The sequence below is a fragment of the Homo sapiens genome, chromosome 2, assembly GCF_000001405.40.
Source record: "Homo sapiens chromosome 2, GRCh38.p14 Primary Assembly".
In the NCBI taxonomy this organism is placed as follows: domain Eukaryota; kingdom Metazoa; phylum Chordata; class Mammalia; order Primates; family Hominidae; genus Homo; species Homo sapiens.
In genome coordinates this window covers 167,214,096-167,237,119 of record NC_000002.12, presented here as the reverse complement: position 1 = coordinate 167,237,119, position 23,024 = coordinate 167,214,096, and the positions used below count along the sequence as shown (strand labels likewise).

At 36.2% G+C, this 23,024-nt stretch overlaps 1 protein-coding gene across 6 annotated transcripts in view; it reads right to left on the bottom strand.

Moving 5' to 3' along the window:
• Window positions 1–23,024, bottom strand: part of XIRP2 (xin actin binding repeat containing 2) — a 371,274-nt gene that overhangs the window by 22,634 nt on the left and 325,616 nt on the right. For all 6 annotated transcript variants that reach the window (NM_001199143.2, NM_152381.6, NM_001079810.4 and 3 more), the window contains one exon: window positions 18,820–18,954. In NM_001199143.2, the coding sequence (NP_001186072.1) occupies window positions 18,820–18,954 (135 nt within the window). The remainder of the gene's footprint in view (window positions 1–18,819; window positions 18,955–23,024) is intronic.

The following is a 23,024-nucleotide window of genomic DNA, read 5'->3' as shown; positions in this document are numbered from 1 at the left end:
CTACTTCAGCATTTATGTGCTATTTCCAAATAGAACTGTAATTGCCATACTAGTTTGGTATGTTAGCATCAATGCATCAATTTTACTGCCCTCTAGTTACTGTAACTTACATAAAATATTCCTTAAAATATCCCAAGCTTTTGTTTCTACCATTTACTGTTGCATATTTTGCAACTAGTTTAGTTTGGATTTAAAATCTGACTTTCTAATTGTTGGTGTCTATAGAGTATAGGGTTAGGTAGAAAGCTGGATCATCGTAATGCTCAGGCAGAAATCAAATTAAATAAAATGTTATAAACAACTCTGTTCGGGTCACCATTCATAAATTCACACCAATAATTCATAAAATTGGTTGCTGAAAATTAAATTTAAATATAGACCAGTCTGCAAGAGACAAATGTTATTTTGTTCACAGGTCAATTAACCAGTATTCAGGAATGGGAGATTAGTCCTAACTCTTTCCTTTACTAGGTATGTTATAATCTTGGGAAAAATCATGAAGTCACACTTAAACTCATGTCTTTCATCTCATGAGGCATTAAAGGAAAGAAAAAGAGATGATGTATATGCTCTAACTTTGAAATCTAAAAAAGAAAATGCAGTACAACAGCAAGACAATATTATGGTGTTTGCATAGCTCACATCAGTCTGATGTCAGCTTATATATTAACCAACTATATCACAAAAATCTATTGTTGATATGCACATCTTCTAAGGAGATTTCTCCTGCACAGGAAGCAGTTCGTATCCTGCCTATTCAACTTTTCATTCTTATATCATTATAGGGAAAGACATTGTAAATTTCCCAATAAAATTGCAAACTCATTCTAGTGCAATGAGTAAGGAAAAAGGACAGGCTTTAAAAAAACTTTTTTTTTTATGGCGACTCACTATTATTGTGACTCTTGGAAGTATATCCAATAGAAAAACCTATGGGGAAAGACTGGCAGAATAGTAGAGGGTAACTGTCTCACTAGAGTGGAAAAAACGGAAGTTCATGTTCAATGCCAGTAATACAGCATTTTTACTAATCTCATTTTTAATAAAACTAGAAACAGTTATGATATATTAATGTTATTTACATCTTTGTCAAACAGACATAAACAATACCAAAAACAGGCTGTTCATGTGAGCAAAAATGTCAGTGGATTCAAGCTTTGAAAGAATAATCAGTTCATTTTTTCTTTTAAGTGATGAGCATAGCAATTTGTGGGTGACCATTGTGATTGTCTGGATTTAGATACATTAAAATTCAAACATTGAATTTTTTCCTTTTGCCCTGAGGTTTCTCTTTTTATTTTTATTAATTTTCTCTTAAAAATTACAATATGCAACTTGACATCTCTAAGGTGTGAGCTTTATGTAAAGGCTTTTCCACATTCATTATACCCTCTTAAAGACTTAGCTCAAAAATTACTTTCTTTTTGAAACCTTTCCTGACTTCTATACAGGGTGCACTATTCTTGCTTTTTCTATTCCTGTGATATTAGCACACATCTGTATTATCTACCTATCACATTTCATAGTCATCATTTGCTAATATGATTCTCTCCTTTAACAGAACTCTGTCTATCACATGCATCCTCAAATCCCAATGATTAGCTTCCAGGTACACAGTAGATAGCCAATAAAATGTCAAGGAGTAAATACATGGGTAAATACAGTAGTCACTTTTTTTTAGTAGTGTGAAAATTTTATAATTTTTAATCTGCTTTCAAAATTGAGATTCCAAATTCTTCCATATAAACCTATGATTTTTTTTGTTGTTGTCATTTTGGTTGGTCATCCCTTTCACACTAGCAATAATATATCAATCACTTTACAAAGTGCACTCAGAAAGAGGAGTCTCTTCACAGATGTTCATAGATCAGAACATCTATGGAAAAATATGTGCAGTTCTGTGATGCTGTAAAGGGTAGCTGACACCATCAGAGCAAGAAGAAGTCTGTACCAAGAAAGCAATAAATACACTAGAAGCCCAGATCCCACCATTATGCAATATATCCATGTAACAAACATGCACATGTACCCTCCTGAATCTAAAATAAAAAATCTGTGTACAAAGAGAGCAAACACATACACAGAGGTAAGGATTCTTTCAACATAGGAAAAGAAAAAGATATTCATGATGCTAAACAAACTCGTTTCTATGTTGTTTTGTGAATTGTTATTCACTGAGTTAATGGATTTGACATGTTGTCAAGGATCATATAGAAACTGTAGTGGGATGCATTGGGCAGAATTACTATGACATTGAATAACTATGTTGAGATATTTATGATGACACTGAAAGACAATTATTTATCTTCATTTTTTATTTATAAAAATAGGAAAATAACATTAAGGGAAAAGAAGAGTTAAGGCAATTCCAAGTCCTAATTCTTTGTGTGACTCAATATGCTCAGAAGTAAAGGCTCCAGTTTTACTTAATTCAATAGTAACTCTGCCTAAAGTTATGAGAGTATGCTAGTTGGATTATTAGCTCTTAAACTGATAATGTTAAAACATTCAAAACATTTTAATGTAGTGACTTTTTTCTTTGAAAGCACTAAATTTTTAAACAAGAGTGACCTTGTAGAGCTTCACTCATGCATTTATTTATTCAAACAATAGTTATTGAACATTGGTTATCTCAACGGCATTGGGCTAGGCATTGTCAGTATTGTTTAATACATTCCTGTGATCATATCTCTATCTATGCAATATATGTAAATATATATATATATAATTAATGATATAAAAAGGCTCAGTTAGCTTGAAATTCCCTTGAAACAAGAATGCCAAATATATACCAAAGCATGAATTATGCAGATATATTGCATAAATTTCTGAGAGAAGTGTTATCATTCCATTAATTTTAACTCTTCTTTGACTCAAAACGATTATGCTTTGGTAATATTTAGCTAGAAAGAGCAAAGAATCATTTTTAATAAAGAAAATAATTGGCTTAAAAGTACAAAATTTTGCTGTCAAAAAAGGGAGGATTCTGAATAAGCAATGCTAGTTTTAGCTGCTAGAACTCTGTCTCCTCCTGCTCTAAAAGTATTATTTATAGAGCTATATTCCAGAGGCCCAAAATTCTGAAGATTCATAAAAAGAACATATAAAAGATGCACTCTCAACTGAGTCGTCAAACATATTAGTCATATAAATAACAATATTTATTTGACAAACTAAAAATGCAGCTTACATAAAGACATTCAATTCACAATAAAGAATGCATTTCAGAAGTTTTACGTAGATGTATATTAAAGATATATATGTATATAATATTTCAATCCAACATAGACACAAATAATCTTAAAACCAGAGACACTAGGATATAAATAAACATAAATGTCCAACAAAAGGCTGAAACTTAGAGTCTTACAGGGAAATGAAATTACAGATAAAAAGTTTACAAAAAAAATAAAATATTCTAAAGAAAAAGAAAAACAGAGGTAACATGTGTCCTATGCTAACTAATACCAACCAAAATCGAGAAACAGAACTCTACCTCTTGATTACCATCCCTTCCTCACCAATATCCAACTGATTTCTATGTCCTACCAATGCTATCTATTGTTATTTAAATGACCCTTGAGTCTGTGCCCTCTTTACCCTAGAACTTCAGGCCCATTTAAGTCCTCATATATTTAATCTGGACTATTTCAGTAGTCTCCTAATTTATCTTCTTCCATCTCACCTTAACCTGCTTTGTATCAATCTTATACAGCCAGAATAATCTGTGTTAAAGACATACCTATTCATCTTACTCTCCTGTTTAAGTTGCTTCAATGGCTCTTGATTGCCTTAGAAGAAAGTAAAAATTCTTTAACATGACATAAAATTTTATTTATTATCTGGCCTTTGCCAAAATCTCCAGCTTTATGCCTCAATTATTCCTCACTACACTCACAAATATATCATGCTGTTTTACCTTTTACACAAATTGTCCCTTTGCATAGAATGCATTCTATAGGCATGAAAAATTATTTCAAGTTTCAGCTGAAACATTCTCCCTCATCAGATGTCTTTCTTAATCATCTTTCACCTGAACTAAATTTTATCACAACTTCCTGGGGTTCCAATGAGCCTCATTTATATTTTCTATCATAGAATTGGACACATTGCACTTGTAATATTTGTTCTCGATCTGTCTCTCTAATAGAGTGAGCTCCTTGAGTGCAAAATAATGTCATACACATAATTGAATCTTTCGTGCCTGACATATGGTGGGTGCCTAATGATTATCAGCTCCTTAGAAAAGTAAATAAATCTAAGGCCCAGCCTCTAGAGTCAGCCTTCCTGGGTTAGTATCACATTTGCTCACTTTTCTTGGAAAAGTTACTTAGACCTCTCATGCATCCATTTCTTGTTCAAAAAACCAAATAATAATACTGCCTATCTCAGAAGGTTGTTGTGAAGAAGAAATAAGTTAGTATATTTTTAAAAACCTGGCTCACCAGTGCTACAAATACCAAAGTGTTTGGTATCTTTACTTAACAAATATTTATTGCACACTTGTGTCAGACATTTTCCTAGTAATTCAGGATTTGGTAGTAAGCAAGGCCCTCCAAAAGACTGAGTAAAACTAGAGTTCAGCTACATCAATGAATTTTACCAGAGAATTTCATTGTAGAATTAAGTCCAGAAACTAAAGAAGAAGCAAATCTCCCAATATGTACATTTTTTTTTCTCCACCAGAGAAGGTGTAGATTTAGGGGGTTACTCAAAGAGAGAAGGAAAAAGGAGCCTGTATGTATTGTGACACTTCCAAACCATTCTGGCTCCTGACATGTGGAAATATTCTGTAGAGATATAGCCAGAGAGCGGGTTTGTGATCACCTATCCAATTTATTTACACTTCGTCTTTCATGAACTCATACCTAGTGAACAGTCAGTTTATAATGATTTAATCTATTACACAATTCTTTCCACGATTCTTCTTTGCCTAAAAGATACTGTTGTATGATTCCCATTTTGACAGTAAAAAACATTAAGATTTGTAGATAATTTATCTTTATATCAGTCACAGCTCCCAGTTTCAAGCATTGGAGTCTGACTGATTTAAACAGAAAAGGGAATTTATTGAAGAGGCAATGGGTGGCAGGGGTGGAGAGTGTATCTCAAGAAATCTCCAGGAAACTGGAGAATAAGACTAGGAGGATTTGTATCCAGTAACAGTACAGAATATAGTTGCAGAGACATCTGGTAAACTTACTCTGGTTGCTGCCACCGGCCCCAGACACATTCACTGACAATGCTATCAATAGTGTGTACTGGATGTTGCTTCTGAAATACTTATAAATTTCTTGAAATTGGAGTAATCTCCTGCCACCAGCCATTATCAAAATTGATTGTCTATGGTCCCTGCTTCTCATGTCACTAACCTCTTATGCAAAGCCCAAGATGGAGATGATCAGTATAGTCTTTTCTGCACACCTGGATCCTAGACATTAGGAAAGCTAGGAGAGTGAGTGTATGGTATTTGCAGTTTCTGTTAGTGGTGGCTGGTTCGACCTCATTGGGTGGTAGAATAGAAAATGGTTTTGATGTAAAAAAAAAAAGAAAACTGTCCATTAGCCTTCCTAAGAAATATTATTTATGAACACTGAGATCTTCTTAACCAAATGGAAACCAGTTAAAAGCACAAGAAAAGGGGTGCCACTCATTTTTGACAATACATAACATAGTAGAAAGCACTATCCAAATCTTACTAAAAAAAACTGATTTGGGCTTATTTTTTGGTAACGTATGTTCCATGAGACGTTACAAGGACATGTAGGAAGACTTTGAGACAGTGCAGTTTTCCTGTTAAGGGTATCATAAAGAGTTGCTGTTATACTGAATTATACAGACCTCCCTCCCTCTTTCAGTGTCCCTCTGAGTTTTTATGGCCATCAGTCCTTTTCACTGGGAGAGATGACATTTTAAATCCTTATATAAAATCCAAATAAGAAGGAAGAAAATTAATAAAACAGATCTGGCTTGGATCTAAGCATTGCAAGGTTATCTGCACAAACATGGCATCACAGGGCAGTTATTAATTATGACAAAAAATGATAACTTGTGTTTTCTTTAAAATAAGGAAAATGAGGAAAACTGAAAAGGTAATAATTTGTAATTGCACTAATGAATGTATCTACGAGCAACTAGGGGAGTTGGTTGTAAGAGATTGGCGTGGTAGGACTGTTGCGTTATGGCCAAAATTCATTACTGGTTCAAGTAAGAAATCACGTAAATAAGTCTTAACTAATTTCAGTCTCAGTATCTTCGCTGGTAAACTGCTGGGACAGAGGCTGAGGGAGCACTGAAGGAGACAGGAAGGGCTACCTTTGATCAAGTGTTGTTAAGTCTCAGGAAAAGTAAAGTACAAGGCCCTTTACAGTTGAATAATGTCAAATTTCTTCACGGCTCTTCCGTGCTAGCATTCTACATGTTGATTTCAAATGAATTTAACCAGTAAAAGTGGTTTAGGGAAGAATGCTATGCAAGTTTTTAAAATATCAAAGATATATCATGAATATAGTATACTAGCTAGAATCCCATCAACAAGATATTTTGAATTAATATTTTTAACACCTAAAGTCAATAAGTGATGCATTCAACATGCATTTGTGAGGTACTTAGCATATAGACTTGATGATACTATTTCTTATTATCATAATCCCTTATGTAGAAATGAAAGGCCCACATTTTGAGGAAGGGAAGGAAAAGGAATTCAGGGAAGAAATGAAAACTTCTTTCTTGATCTCAAAAACAACAACAAAAAAGAAACTATGACGGTGGGGGTTATTTGTTTACAGTGTTAGAATGATGATACAAAGTGTTTATGGTAAAAGATTCACAAAATGAACCCCAACCTAAAGTACTGACTTCATTGAAGTTCCAACAATCTCTCCCAATGTTTTTAAACACTGCTATACGTTGAATTGCTATTAGATTATTGTAATTTGTACTCTGAGGAAAAAGAATAAATTTCAAATGCTACAGAATGTTGTACCAATATCCCTAGAGGGCACTGATATTCACCCAAGGGTAAGCAAGTTTGACTGAGCTCTTGGCTCCCCATCTGGTATCCATCTAGTGGTAGGTACATAAGGTGTACTGTCCTTCTCAAAGAGTGAGAAACTAAGTGGCCTCCACTCATTCCTGAAGAGGTGAACAGTTTCCTCCTTTCCATGCCTAAGTAGATACCCAGGAGCAAAGGAAAAAGAACAAGTCCAAGAAAAAGCTCCTAGCAGAAGATGTAACCTTATTCCTTATTCTGTGTTGTTAAGATCTGTGAAGAAGCTAGGCAAAAATGAAGTTACCCTAACATACGTCTACAACAGCATGGCTCTAGGAACAGAACTTCTTAATGTCTCTTACTTTTTTCAAGCCTTGTGTTCTTCCAGTTTTTTTAGCATGATAATTTGTTTGTAATTATGCAAATTAATAACTAAATGAACATCAAAAAGAATAGAGAAGCTTGACTCAATCCAATCATTTTCAAAGACCCATGAAGATGGGTTTATTTTGAGAAATACAGACCCAGAAGAAGCAGAAAGAGCTAATTATACCTTCTGTCAAGTCTAACAAAAAGCACCCATTTTCATAAAAGTAACTACGTGGAAAAAGCATTTTGCAGATTTCACTAAGTTCTACAAGCATAATGAGTCTATAACATTAATGATTTCTTTTGTTGTTATATCTTTCCTTGATACTGACAAACTAGCAAAATCTAAGAAGTTAAAATTTTGGGGCTTGCCATTTCATTATAGCAATTTGAAAATAGAGTAAATTTAATTAGCATATTAGAATATATTGTCTAAACACTTGAGAATTCTATTTTATATAATTATACAAAAAGATCTGTTTTTATATTGTTAAGCTAATATGAGCCTTCAGATAGAAAGGGCAATAGCAAAATGTCTCCTCTATTTCAACTTTCCCTAGATGTACACTCCCTGTGATCAAAGAAAATATAAAATTCCATTATGTCAAAAGATCTGTATTTTACATCTTTATTAACATCAAATACTTTTTGAGATCACCTAATTAAGTATGGAGGAAACTCTTGCTGTGACCTTTTGTCTTTGGGGGAAAGGGTCTAGGTGCTACTTCCTCAACAACTCAGGGCCTTGTGATGAGAACAGCAGCACTTCTTTTTCCCCAAAGCAACCCCAATTTATTTTACTTTAAAGGAGTGAAGGATGTATCTGTAAGCATACATTTCTTTTCTAAATGAAATTGAAAATAGGTTCTATAGGAACAAATAGGTTTATAGAGACAGAAGGCCCATGATGCTATTAAGAAGAAAAGTTGTGGTATTGGTACTTGAATAATTGGGGTAAATGCTGTTCCTACAAATCCTATTTTGGAAAATAAGTAAAATGAATCGTAGAAAGAAAAGAAACCAATGATGATTTTTTCAAAGCAATTGGATCTGTGCTTGCAACTCAGTCTTACTAATGGATATTTGCGCTATCCACTGAGGCTCTGACTTCCTGAGAAAAACGGCCAGGGCACCCTCTACACGTTAATGTTTCTAACCACCTGCCAAGTCACCAGGAAGATTAGTGTACTTAGTTTTTTTTCAGCAAAGTAAAAGAACCCAGCTGAATGGACACACTGTACAGACTGCACCATTTCCCCAAGAAGGTGTTCTGCAAAAGACACAGGTAGAATGTCTGCCTGTGTCTTCACATTGTGGATTGGGAATGAGTTTCCTTTTATGATGTTGTACTGGAATGGCCTACCATGTTCCCATAGGGGAAGGAGGAGTCAATCCCTCTACGCATTAGCAGTGTAACTCATATACCAATAGGTTCTGCAGGAAGAAGGTGAAATGGCTTCTTACAAGTTGCAAAGGGACTGTGACTGAAACTTTATGATCATGCCTCAGCAGACAGTTAGCAACTACCAGCGGCTTCATTTGGGACTAGCAGAGGTTGAGAGTTATAGTGTGTGGCTATAATGTAATGTGATTCATGTTAGTAGAACACAGAAGACAGTCTGATTATATTTTATGGGCACATCTTCAATCCCAGGAAAAGTCCACACAGTGGTTTAGTTATGTTAAGATCTAAAAGACTATAGGCAGTTTCACTACATTATTTGATAAGGTTTTTTACTTTATAATTAAGTAAAGCTCTGTCTTTCATGAAACAGTATTATTGGTACAGAAATATCAAAGATACAAACCCAAGACACGTTAGATGTATAGGTTGCATCACCCTATGAAAATAAATTTTTAATGAAAGATTGCAAAAAAAATTGTAATGAAGTAAAGTTTCAGTCTTAATTAATTATTGGTGTATCAATCTAATAAATTAAAAAAATTCCTTTATTTTTGTTCTGATTGTTTTGTTTACTTTTAATGTTTTAACATATTTTCCTTCAGTTAATTTATATCATTCTATCATTTATTTTATTAGAAAATTTTTTTTGAGACAGGGTCTCACTTTGTCTCCCAGGCTGGAGTGCAGTGGTGTGATCATGGCTTACTGTGGCTTTGAACACCTGGGCTCAAGTCATCCTTCCACCTCAGCCTCCTGAGTAGCTGGGACTACAAGCACAGCCACCATGCTTGGCTAATTAAAAAACATTTTTTCTTTTGTAGAGATGGGGTTTTGCTATGTTGCCCAGGCTGGTCTCTAACTCCTGGCCTCAAACGATCCTCCCACCTTGGCCTCCCACTTTGGCCTCCCAAAGTGCTGGGATTATAGGCTAGTTTATTTTTAATATTCTAATATGTCATATATATGCAGAAACTACTATTTCAATATAGTCTACCACCAGCAAAGGAATTACCTGGGATTAGAGTATCAGTAAATTGGTTGTTTGCTTGGCTAATATTTATTATTTTTACCATGATTTCTTTAAGCCTTTGCTTTCTCTGGATTCTTCACAGTCTCCTATTCTATTTTTTGACTGCAGTAGTTATCTCAAGAGAAATGTCAACATAAGAAGAAGGTCCCTGCTATCAGAGTGTGAACAGAATGACGTGTGCACGCAATAAGCCTCAGATCAGAAATCAAGAAGGGAGAGGTCAACCCTGGGATAGCAAATCCTGCCTTATGTTTGTACTGTCATAGTCATTGCTGTACATTAGAATCACCTAGAGAGCTATCAAATCCCCCTGCTCCTTGATCATGCTCCAGAACAATTAAATCAATTACCTGGGCCGCCTGGGGATTTCCAGTGTACAACCCGGCATAAAGAGGGCTTAAATGCTCAGAGTTCCCACTGGGATTCCATGCCCCAGCTGAACAAGGAGGATGATTTGATTCCAAATCTTTGTAGAGTCATGATAAGGGTAGGAGGTGATGTTTCGGAAGCTTGGAAAAGATGCCCTGTTTCAGGCCCAGAGAGATGTGGGAACCTACAGACAGAGAACTCTTCGAAACTTGCTACCACTACATCCCTGTAGCATAACCCAAAGAAGCCTGGGTAGAGTGGGAGTAGGGCTTTGTGAAGAGTGTGGGGTGCATTTTAGAGAGATCAGTCTCATGCAGGCTTTTATGAGGGCAAGGGAAAAATGAATGGTTTGTTGGGGCTTGAAGAAAAGGCTTTTCTATCTTTCATCTTGAGAAGTGCAAGTCCTCGTGTGGTTGCTTTGTGTTTTTGCTTTTGTTTTCCACACAGTTGGTCTAGGCAGTTCTAAATGCAGTTAATTTACTTCATAACTTGAGCAAGAATCTTCTTCATAGAATATAATTCTGTTGATTCAATTTCTACAAAAAAGAGCATGGGATCCTGCCACAATCTACAGAGCTATAGGGAAGGTGGATGTGGGTAGGAAGAGAAGAGACACAGATTGAGTAGTAGGAGAAAACCAGCTGCAAAATGGCAAGGAAGCAGCGCCATGGACACAGTTTTGAAAAGTGGTAATAAAATGGGCAATTATGAGCATGGCAAAGATAATTTTGAATGCAAGAGTAGTGAAAAAAAGTCAATTCCTGAAATATGTATCTCCAAACCCCCAGTGGGATCTGCGTTTGCATTTCCACTTCTTGCAGAATTGAAAGGAAAACCGAATTACTAGTATAGAGCAAAGCTGATTTGCTGTATGGCATAGTCAGGAACTGAGACGTCCCATTAATAGATAATTTCAGTCATCTGAATTCTGCATCAACCAGCTCGTGCAGATCTGGCTGTATGAATATTACTGATGATAAATGGTTGAGGCTATTTTGCTCTATTTAGCAAACTCTTGGTCTTCCAATTCCGCTTCAGCATTAAAAAGTTAATCTTATTGTGTTCTTTTCATCATCAAAGCCCACTCAGCCACAGGCACCAAGAAAGAGCTGTAGAGGATAAACAGATTAAAGGGCCTAGATTTGGAAGGAAAAATTCAGTGAAAGATTTGTTATGAGAATTTTAATTTTTACCAGAGTAAGACTGCTGAATCTAATCTGTCTATGAGCCTTATTTATATGCCTCTTGAGAACAATGTTTGTGCTGTTTTTGTTCTTTGTTTTCTTGAGATCAAGCTGAGACCCTGCTATGATCACTCAGCCTGTGGAAGGTTCATGAGTATTTGCTGGCCTATCTGCAGAAAGGTCTATGTGATTCCATCACCTGTGTCGAAAAAAAAGCAACAGTTCTCTGGCAAATAAGGGTCCTTATTTCTGAGCATGTTGATCAGACACTGGCTTTATTCTATTAAGACCGTTATAGAAATATACTGACCTTCATTGTTCCAACTGCACAAACCAGAAAATGTTACAAGGTAGATTTTTCCTCTACCTTTTCTTTCCCTTCCATACATCAACTAAAATGTGCTGAGAAACCACATATGCAACACTCACACTTGTAAGCATTGAAAAAAATCAACATCCCTTCAACTCTTCCTCTTTTTCTCTTCTTTTCAAACAGCATAGCTTTTCCTCTCCTACCTAATTCAATTTGTATATTAATTATATTGTTTTCCTTTCAGTAGTATCTTGCCACTATACTATAAATAAAGCAGTCTTCAAAAGCAATGCTATGCTATTTATTTGTTCCCACTTAAGAAAACAAATTTTTATTTATTGTGAGGCTCCAACATACCTATATAGAGTGTTTGAAGCATATTTCTTTCTTGGTCCACCTTATCTTGTCATTTATTATAGTTGGGGTTAAACAATTTTCTTCAAAAGAAGACTTGCTATTATAATTTTTAAAACACACACTAGAGTTACTGATTACTCCACAATGACATATGCTCAAAACACGTACAGGTATGCTCATTTCAAGCTAATCTTTGGATAATGGAGCTCCTAAAAAACTATTATCTCCCAGGGCTAAAGAACAGAAAAGAAAGCCAAGGTGTGAGGCACAGAACATGATAATCCTTCTTTGTCTTTTTACATACACATTTGTGAATCATACGCTATTTTGAGAATAATTGCCACTTGATTATGTCCCCTCTTGGCTTAAGGGTCAATATTTTTAATGATAATAGCTGGGGTTTATTAATCAATTAATATATGCTAGGCAATATACTAAAAGATTTATATGGACATTTTATTCTTAAAATGACCTGTTATTATTTTAGAAGAAATTAAATGGTGCTATGGTTTGAAGGTTTATCCCCTTCAAAATTCATGTTGAAATGCAATTGCCAGCCTGGGCACAGTGGCTCATGACTGTAATTCCAGCACTTTGGGAGGCCAAGTCGGTAGATCACTTGAGCTCAGGAGTTTGAGACCAGTCTGAGAAAAATGGTGAAACCCCATCTCTTAAAAAAAAAACAAAAACAAAAACAAAAATTAGCTGGGCGTGGTGGCATATGCCTGTGGTCCCAACTACTCAGGAGGCTGAGATGCAAGTATTGCTTGAGCCTGGGAGGTAGGGGTTACAGTGAGCTGAGATCACACCACTGCACTACCACCTGGGCAACAGAGCAAGACCCTGTCTCAAAATATCAAAAAATGTATTTGCCTTTGTGATAGTATTGGGAGGTGAGAACTCTAAGAGGTAGTTAGTCATGAGGGCACCACCTCATGAGTGAACTAGTGTCATTATGATAGGAGTGAGAGTGAGTTCCCCCTTCTTGTTCTTGCTCCTTCAGACCCTCTCACTTTCTGCCACATTATGACATAGCAAGAAGGTCCTTAACAAGATGCCAGCACCTTGACATTGGACTGTTCATCCTCCGGGAATGAAAGCCGACAAATTTCTTTTTTATAACAAATTAACCAGTCTCTGGTATTCTGTCATAGCAGCACAAAGTGGATTAAAATAGATGGGTAACTCAGGGGATTATAACACAGTCTCTCTGACTCTAGAGCCAGCAGCCCCAATTACTACTCCAGATTGCCTCATTTTGAGTGCTGGTACTTTAAGTTATAAGAATCACTTTAAAATAGTGCTCATAATTAAAAGACAATACAAGATACATTCTTGGTCACAACCTTGTATGTTGATAGAGATCTAGGTTAGGTTGGGGCTGATAATAGCAATCTACGACCTTGAAGAATTATGTACGTGGCAGGGAGCTATAGGCAGGTTTAAAGGACTTAGATGAGAAATGTTTTGCAATGTGGACATTTAGCTGATAAAAATATATTTAGTTTGCTGGAAAATAATTATAGGTCACCTTTAAAGAGTCTAAAACACACAGTAGTCAGATTATATCTGTCACAAGCTGTCAAAAATGTTTTTTATTGACCTAGCATTGTCTAGAGATTGTTCCAAATCTGCATAATCTTACAGAATCCTAGCATTTACATTTTAATTTTTGCAATAGCAGATATATGAGGAAAGATATATACTGTCACTCAGCGCATCAGAGTTAGTGGCAGGGCAAAGGTCAGGAATGCTTTTTCTTCTTGATATAGATTCAGTGCAGCAATTTCATATGAAAGCAAATACCTCAGCACTGGATTGCACTTATTACTTCCAAAATTTTTGGAGCTCCATCTGCTCTTTCCTACTTATGCTACTTAGGAAAAAAAAAGCAACTTGAGGAAAGAAGAAGCTTCTGGGGCTTCACAAAATAATACACAAAGAGCTCCTCAGTACTGCATAAATATGGAGGAAAGAAAAGGAAAAAGAAATTCACTTAAGAAGATGAAAGTCAAATCCTAAGTGTGAGAATGTGGCCACAAAGAAAGTCCTAGACTGCTAATAGGTACAATGTTTCTTTCTGCAAGGATGAGAATATTTTAAAATTAGATTGTGGTGACCCTGCACAACTCTGTAAATATTCTAAACAATCATTGAACTGTATTCATAAAATGGGTGAAAGTTATGGTATGCAAATTATATCTTAACACAGCTGATAAATAAGGAAAAAGAAAAAAAAAGAGGAAGAAAGTCCTAAAAATAACCACACAGAAACCATAGAGTGGGCAAGTGAAAAGTAACTCAGGAGAGAGGCAATGGCAATTTTACATCAATAGCAAATTTATTCTAATATCTGTTCCAGCATATCTAGAGATACCCTTTTAAAGTTGAGTAGATGGATTATTTAGAATGTTTTTCCCAAATGGAGACTGTTACAGTGAGTGGATAAAAAGACACCCCTCTCAAGTTGTCCTTTTCATTCTAGCATTGAGGGCCTACTGATTTTCACTAGCATAAAACACTGAGAATTCAATCCTAAAACAAAAACAGGAGATATGCTGAGTGACTTATAATCCCTTAAAGAGGGTTGGGTTTAATTTATATCTACTGGAAGCATTAATGGTTGTTATGAAAAACAAAATCGAAATGGGTAATGTTAAAAATGGCTAGTATTAACTGCAAAGGCAACCTAATAAAGGTTCCCCAACCTATTCTTTGAAGAAGCTCAACCCTTCCCACCACCTAACTCTCTCCTTCAGAGACCCAGAGTGGCTCCTTTTCCTAATTTTCATAGGCATACTCTGCCGGCTAGCAGGAATATGGCTAACTGTTTAACAGGCAGAACTATAAAAGCATGGCAAGTCTAGAATACATACATGGGACATCATCCTAAGTTTAAAATGTCTGGCATAAATAAATGTTCTTATATTGTGCACCCCTTTTTTCTATTTCAGAACTGCCCTTCCATTAGATGTAAAACAGTCTAATCCATTAGCAAAAGAAGGGATCTTTAATCTCAGAGATAGATTAATTATCAAAATTTGTTTAGGCCAATTGCTGATCTCCCAGACAAACTGTTACCAAATAGTCAGCTAATTACCCTGAAACATCTGACTTCAGTACATTAGGAAGCAAACAGACAGATTGGACTTTATTATTATACCTTATTAAGTTATTACTAATTGTGGCATTAAATATTGTCAGAAATCCAGAACAAATGTTCTTTCTTTTAACTCTAATTAAACTTGATTTCCAAATTAATATTAATTACTATATGTCAAAAAAATAAATATTTTTTGGCCAGGGGCAAATAGCAGGGAAATAAATCTCAAGGACTTTCAACAGCAAAGAGATTGAAAACACTATCAGAATTGACAACATCTTAGGTAAAGACAGAATAAACTACCTGTGTTTACCAGCAAACATCTTGTCCAAAATCCCTGCTGATAAAAGAAGTGATTTTTAGAATGCACTTAGATAGCATTAAAAGTTGGACTATCTAAGACATAGTTTTTCTACATTTTCCCTGCTATAGCCAAATTTGACATTTATCTCAATTTTCCAATAAGGATTACAAATTAAGGCCATTTAAAATAAGACACAAATGACTTTTTCCTTTTTTTTTTTTTTTTTTTTTTTTTGAGATGGAGTTTCGCTCTTGTTGCCCAGGCTGGAGTGCAATGGCACCATCTCGGCTCACCGCAATCTTCACCTCCCGGGCTCAAGCTATTCTGCCTCAGCCTCCCAGTAGCTGGGATTACAGGCATACGCCACCACACCTGGCTAATTTTATATTTTTAGTAGAGATGGGGTTTCTCCATGTTGGTCAAGCTGGTCTTGAATTCAGGTGATCTGCCCACCTCGGCCTCCCAAACTGCTGGGATTACAGGCATGAGACACCGCACCTGGCCACAAATGACTTTTTCTTTTACTTTCCTACAGACTTCTGCATACGGTCTTCATTCAACAAATGGTGTTTACTAGTTTATTCTTACCTGTGTTTCTTTTATATTGTATTTATATTGCCTTGCATTATGGCTTAACTTTATTCAATCCTCATGGAATTATCGGATATTATTAACATTATCTAAAAGTAGATAATGAAACTGAAGTTTAGAGAAGTCACTACAGCTCCAGATTCATGCAAATATTCAGAATTCTAGGGCATGATTTTTATTACTTTCATACACATTCGCAGAGCAGGGACTACATATATTATAATAATAAACTACATTTGCAAGGACCGTAGAGTAGATATATATTTTTGTTTGATTTTGTTTTTACCCAGCATATATTCTTCATTGAAAACCATATGCTGAGAACTTCCATTTAGGGAAACAAGGTACAGAGGTCTAAGCCAATCAGCATCCTCTTGCTACAGCAATTAGATATGTAAGGAGCATGTATATTCCATTCGGAGCCAACAAGATGCTATAAGCCTTTTTCTTGGGACTTCTGGGAAAATGATTCTTACTTTCTCTGCACTCCTTTTGCTACAACCTGGGGGAAACTTGGATGAGAATGGGGCCAACGCAGTGGAAGTGATTCTGAGAGGTTAAGAAGAAGAAATCTGATAAAGGTGATACTTTGTTTACTGTTTGAACAAATATTTGTGTGGAGCTTACAATGGACCAGGCAATGTGTTAAGCACTTCACAAATACTAAATCATTTATTCTTCTAAACAAATCCATGGGGTGGATACTGTCATACTATTGACTTTATACTTAGGGAAACTGAGAGACAAAGATGTTAAGAGACTTGTCTAATGTCAAACAGTTAATAAATAAAGGAGCAGGAATTTGAACCCAAATGACCTAGCTCCAATATCTGTGATCTTAGCCACTTTGCTAGGACCATACTTTAAGCCCCTACATCAATGATAAGGTGATACATATTTGACAGTGTTATTGAAAGAAGGAAAAAAAAAGAAAGGAAGGAAGGAAGGATTTGTTGCATTTGCCAATTTTCCTGGTGTAAATATTCTCACTATGGCTGATTTCAAGCTGTTAGCAAGATAGTGTCTGGTTTCCAAAACTCCCCAAAATTTAATAATTGGAGAGTTGATACAAGCCAGCTCTGGTACTCCACTGGAGCTTACATCAAATCTCCTTTCCCCAAGACTATTTTTTGTAAACCTGTAATATTTCTTTTGGTTTAGGCCATTTTTGGGGGGTTTTCTGTCTTTTGCAGTATTAAAGAGTCTTAACCAATATCAAGTTTCACAGATATGGAAATATTTTCACATAAATTGCTCTTTGTCACATTAAACCTCCATAGTAACCTAATGAGATAGGCAAATCACTCAACAGTTTTTCCATCCTACTCATCAGAAACTGAAGACTGAGGGGGTTATGAATTTGGTCTGTGCAGTACTGTTTACATAGTATGCCAGACCCAGCGTAAAATGAAAACGTAGAGTCCCTTGTTCAAAAGTTGTTGAGAATTTTAAAATGGAGACAGAAGAGTGTTAAACAAAGTGCCTGGAGTACAGGACCCTGTGCAACTGCACAGGTCACACATCCATGAAGGTGGCCCTGGGTCTGTGTAACCCTGAAAAGTAGCAGAGGTGGTGTGTAAACCCAGATCCACAAGCCCCATAGTCCATAGTCCCCACTGCTTCCCTTCAAAGTGAAGGATCTATAAATTCATTACTGATATTTCTATGTAGAATTTGTTATTTAAACTATTAATGATAGTAATATTTTGTATTGTTGACCAGTTTAAACACACACATCTACACTCAAAGACTCCTACATTGCAACAGTTATGTATTAGATCACAAGTATCTTAATCTTAATTTCTTATTTATATTAAGTTTCCTTTAGGTAATATTAAAAAGAAATCTTGCCATAAATTTATTGAGCTACCTATATTGTACATTTTTAACTTTGCAGCCAGAGCCAGAAAAAGGAAACAAATAATCTTTCACATATGAGATTTTTAATCATTCTACCTGATATGCCGCCTCATCCCCTGCCACACATAGCACGCAATTGCTTCATTTAAAAAAATTTAGGCAACTCTATATGTCCCGGGGATTAAAAAAAAATACATCCACTTCATTTCTCACTACAAAATTTAAGAAATACCTCAGTTGCCTCCTTCCTCATGGAAAACATGGGCCTAAGTACACCTGTTTACAGTGTAATTACTATTAACATTTTTCAAAGTCTGATGAGTTTTATTACTAAGATTCTCACATTCAAAAATCACTAAATCTCATGACAGTATTTTGTGATATATAATAATGAAATAATGAAATCAATGAAATGGGAAAAAAATTTATATAAGATAACATTTGGAGGTCATATTATGTGGTTTTATGTAACATCTGGGCTCTACTATTCAATGTTTGAGGATTTTAAAGAAAACAGAAAACTCCCCACCACAATAAACAGCTGAATAATGCTTCCAACTTAATCTATGCAAATAACCAGCAGCTAGTTTATTATGAATTATAACCTAGAAGCAGAGGCTCAGTATAAACATTGCTCTCAACAGTTCAATTTACCTGTTGTCTAACCTAGACTATTTAATTTTCATTTATGTCTGAAACATTAGAAGATGAGAGGTAGAATGTCCAGCACAGTCTCTAGAAATTTGGCAAAAATGCTTCAAGTAAGTAAATAAATACATATATATGCTTTAAAGATGATTTTCTAGAACATTTCAAAGCTACAGTGTTTGTTAATGAGTAATGAAAATAAATGTATCACTAAAGAAAGGAGATTTCTACATTGGCACCAAAATGAGAGCATTTCAACCATGCCTGATTTACCCATCACCTGTAGTAGTATTACCTGCTCAGATCTGTTCTGATGTTGATATTGGTATTGAGCAAAGGTATTACGGGAAGAAGTAATTTCGTCCTCAAATTGTTTCTTCACCTTGGCCAAACCACCAGGCACTGCGCACATTTCTGATTCTTCCATCATCTAGGATGATTTAAGAAAAAGGAAAATTCAGCTTTACAGCTGTGCAGGATGGGATTCTGAAGCTATTTTAAAAATAGTTGACATTTATTGATAGACAGTATCTTAAAAAGATATTCACATACACCATTATTTCAGTATGTCTTTAACAAAAACCTTAATAAATATATTCTCTCTGGGTTGTTTTCTCATTTATCAGTCTTTTGATATAAAGTCAGAAGAATTTTCAAAGTATTGAGTTAATTCTTCTAATCTCAGATAAATTTTGATGTCTGCAGATAAGACCTATTAGATTGCACGGTATTTCTCCTGTAATATACAGACTAGTGGGTATAAGAATAATGGACTCAATTTTAACCCTCAATAAAGTTGTCATTAAAATCCCAAACATCTATATAGGGAACACATTATTAAGAATAATTTTAAAATCATTTTTACTCCAAAAACTTAAAATTATTAAGGATGAACAAAATAGCCTCAGAATATTCCTTATGTAAAAATATTAATATGAATAATGAGACTACTTATGTGATTTTGTATGTATTAAATGACAGAATATGTCATTCTGTGAGATATGGACACCTATTACCCACATTTTAAAATAAGGAAATTGAGACTTAGAGAAGTAAGACAGTTATTACGTTCTCACAGCTAGAACAGAAGTGCTGGCCCTGGAATTTCAATCCACATCTGTCTGTCTTCATTACTGTCCTCAAAGAACAGGCAGAAAACCAGCAGCTACACTACTCCAGGATTAGCACACCCCAGGCATCAGCTCTGAGCACAGGCATGTCAGAATCAGGGGGCTTTAACATTAGAAGGGTTCTAATCTATCACTGTCATTTCACCAATGAGAAAACTAATTTTTTTTTCTTTTTTTTTTTTATTATACTTTAAGTTTTAGGGTACATGTGCACATTGCGCAGGTTAGTTACATATGTATACATGTGCCATGCTGGTGTGCTGCACCCACTAACTCGTCATCTAGCATTAGGTATATCTCCCAATGCTACCCCTTCCCCCTCCCCCCACCCCACCACAGTCCCCAGAGTGTGATATTCCCCTTCCTGTGACCATGTGATCTCATTGTTCAATTCCCACCTATGAGTGAGAATATGCGGTGTTCGGTTTTTTCTTCTTGTGATAGTTTACTGAGAATGATGGTTTCCAATTTCATCCATGTCCCTACAAAGGACATGAACTCATCATTTTTTATGGCTGCATAGTATTCCATGGTGTATGTGTGCCACATTTTCTTAATCCAGTCTATCATTGTTGGACATTTGGGTTGGTTCCAAGTCTTTGCTATTATGAATAATGCCGCAATAAACATACGTGTGCATGTGTCTTTATAGCAGCATGATTTATAGTCATTTGGGTATATACCCAGTAATGGGATGGCTGGGTCAAATGGTATTTCTAGTTCTAGATCCCTGAGGAATCGCCACACTGACTTCCACAATGGTTGAACTAGTTTCCAGTCCCACCAACAGTGTAAAAGTGTTCCTATTTCTCCACATCCTCTCCAGCACCTGTTGTTTCCTGACTTTTTAATGATTGCCATTCTAACTGGTGTGAGATGGTATCTCATAGTGGTTTTGATTTGCATTTCTCTGATGGCCAGTGATGATGAGCATTTTTTCATGTATTTTTTGGCTGCATAAATGTCTTCTTTTGAGAAGTGTCTGTTCATGTCCTTCGCCCACTTTTTGATGGGGTTGTTTGTTTTTTTCTTGTAAATTTGTTTGAGTTCATTGTAGATTCTGGATATTAGCCCTTTGTCAGATGAGTAGGTTGCGAAAATTTTCTCCCATGTTGTAGGTTGCCTGTTCACTCTGATGGTAGTTTCTTTTGCTGTGCAGAAGCTCTTTAGTTTAATTAGATCCCATTTGTCAATTTTGGCTTTTGTTGCCATTGCTTTTGGTGTTTTGGACATGAAGTCCTTGCCCACGCCTATGTCCTGAATGGTAATGCCTAGGTTTTCTTCTAGGGTTTTTATGGTTTTAGGTCTAACGTTTAAATCTTTAATCCATCTTGAATTGATTTTTGTATAAGGTGTAAGGAAGGGATCCAGTTTCAGCTTTCTACATATGGCTAGCCAGTTTTCCCAGCACCATTTATTAAATAGGGAATCCTTTCCCCATTGCTTGTTTTTCTCAGGTTTGTCAAAGATCAGATAGTTGTAGGTATGCGGCGTTATTTCTGAGGGCTCTGTTCTGTTCCATAGAAAACTAATTTTGATAGGTATCATTGGAAGCAATTTGAAAAGCACCTGAGTAGTCCTGTGAGACCTATGCCCCTTCGGGAAGTGCAGAAGTAGCTCAGGTGCATTGGTTTTGATGATTCAGCACATTCCAGAGCCCAGCAGGCACTCAAGCCCAGATGGGATAATTCTCAAGGAAACAGGCCCCATGCCAGCCTTCCCTCCTCCCGGAAGATTCTAGGTCTGCTTGCAACTGGAAGACTTGGCAATACTTCAAATCAGAGCAGGTCTCCTGAGGTCTGACCCAGTCCTGACATAACCCTCAAAGCCTTAAGACCTTGAAAGTAACTGGGGACCCAGGAGCTGAGAGGTTTCTATACCATGGACTGGGGACTTTGGGGGTCCTGGATCTTTAACCAAATAAGTAGTCTTTCAAATAGATATTAAAAATGTAGTGCCTATCTTGGGGTTTGGGTTTCCCATACTCCAGAATATTATAGACTAATATTAGGATTATCTAAATTACTAGCAAGTACTCAAGTTGTTGCTTTACTAAGTTAATAACGTTTCCTCATTTATGTGGACTATCAAATATTTCAAAATATGTGTGGTGGCCCTTTGAGAAGAGATGATTGTGCTCTTCTATGAACTAGGTATATATTGTATCAAATTCTGCAACAAACTTTAAATGCAAATCTTAATCAATTACTTCTAGTTGATATATGTTAAGGTCAGAAAAATGTACAGCACCCCTTTTGAAATTTAAGATACAGTGAAAAAGGGGAAGGGTGAATTAAGGCCACAATATTTATTTTACCCCTTCTGCCATTTAATTTATATAAGTGGCTTTCCTGGATAAATTATATATAGATAATCTATAAGTATCAAATTATAGACATTAAGGTAATTATTAAGAAGAACCTTGCTGTTTCAAACAACTATTCTGATGTCCCAATCATGTGCAAATTAATCTGGCAAGCCTTAGTATTATGCTTATGACCGGATGCTCTCCTGGTAAATGCATTTTCACAAAAAGATCAATTCTTATACTGGACAGGTTGCCTCTCATCTATAAAATGGATTAAAAAACAGATATACCAGCCTGGTGTGGTGTCTCATGCCTGTAATCCTAGCACTTTGGGAGGTCAAGGTGGGTGGATCACAAGGTCAGGAGTTCGAGACCAGCCTGGCCAACATGGGGAAACCCCGTCTCTACTAAAAAAATACAAAAATTAGCCGGGCATGGTGGCACATGCCTGTAATTCCAGCTATTTGGGAGGCTGAGGCAGGAGATTTGCCTGAACTGAGGAGGCAGAGGTTGCAGTGAGCCGAGATTGTGCCACTGCACTCCAGCCTGAGCAGCAGAGCAAGACTCCGTCTCAAAAGAACAAAACAAAACAGATATACCCATTACTTTCCTGCGCTTTAGAAACAGACTACATTACACATGCAAAAATTCATACAGTTGATTTTTTTTTTTTTTTTTTTTGAGATGGAGTCTCACTCAGCCGTCCGGGCTGGAGTGCAGCAGCACGATCTCGGCTCACTGCAACCACTGTTTCCTGGGTTCAAGTGATTCTCCCGTCTGAGCCTCCTGAGTAGCTGGGATTACTGGCACCCGCCATCATGCTTGGCTATCTTCCTTCCTTCCTTCCTTCCTTCCTTCCTCCCTCCCTCCCTCCCTCCCTCTCTTTCTCTCTCTCTCTTTCCTTCCTTCCTTCCTTCCTTCCTTCCTTCCTCCCTCCCTCCCTCCCTCCCTCTCTTTCTCTCTCTCTTTCCTTCCTTCCTTCCTTCTTTCTCTTTCTTTCCTTCTTTCTCTTTCTCTTTGCTTCCTTCCTTCCTTCCTTCCTTCCTTCCTTCCTTCCTTCCT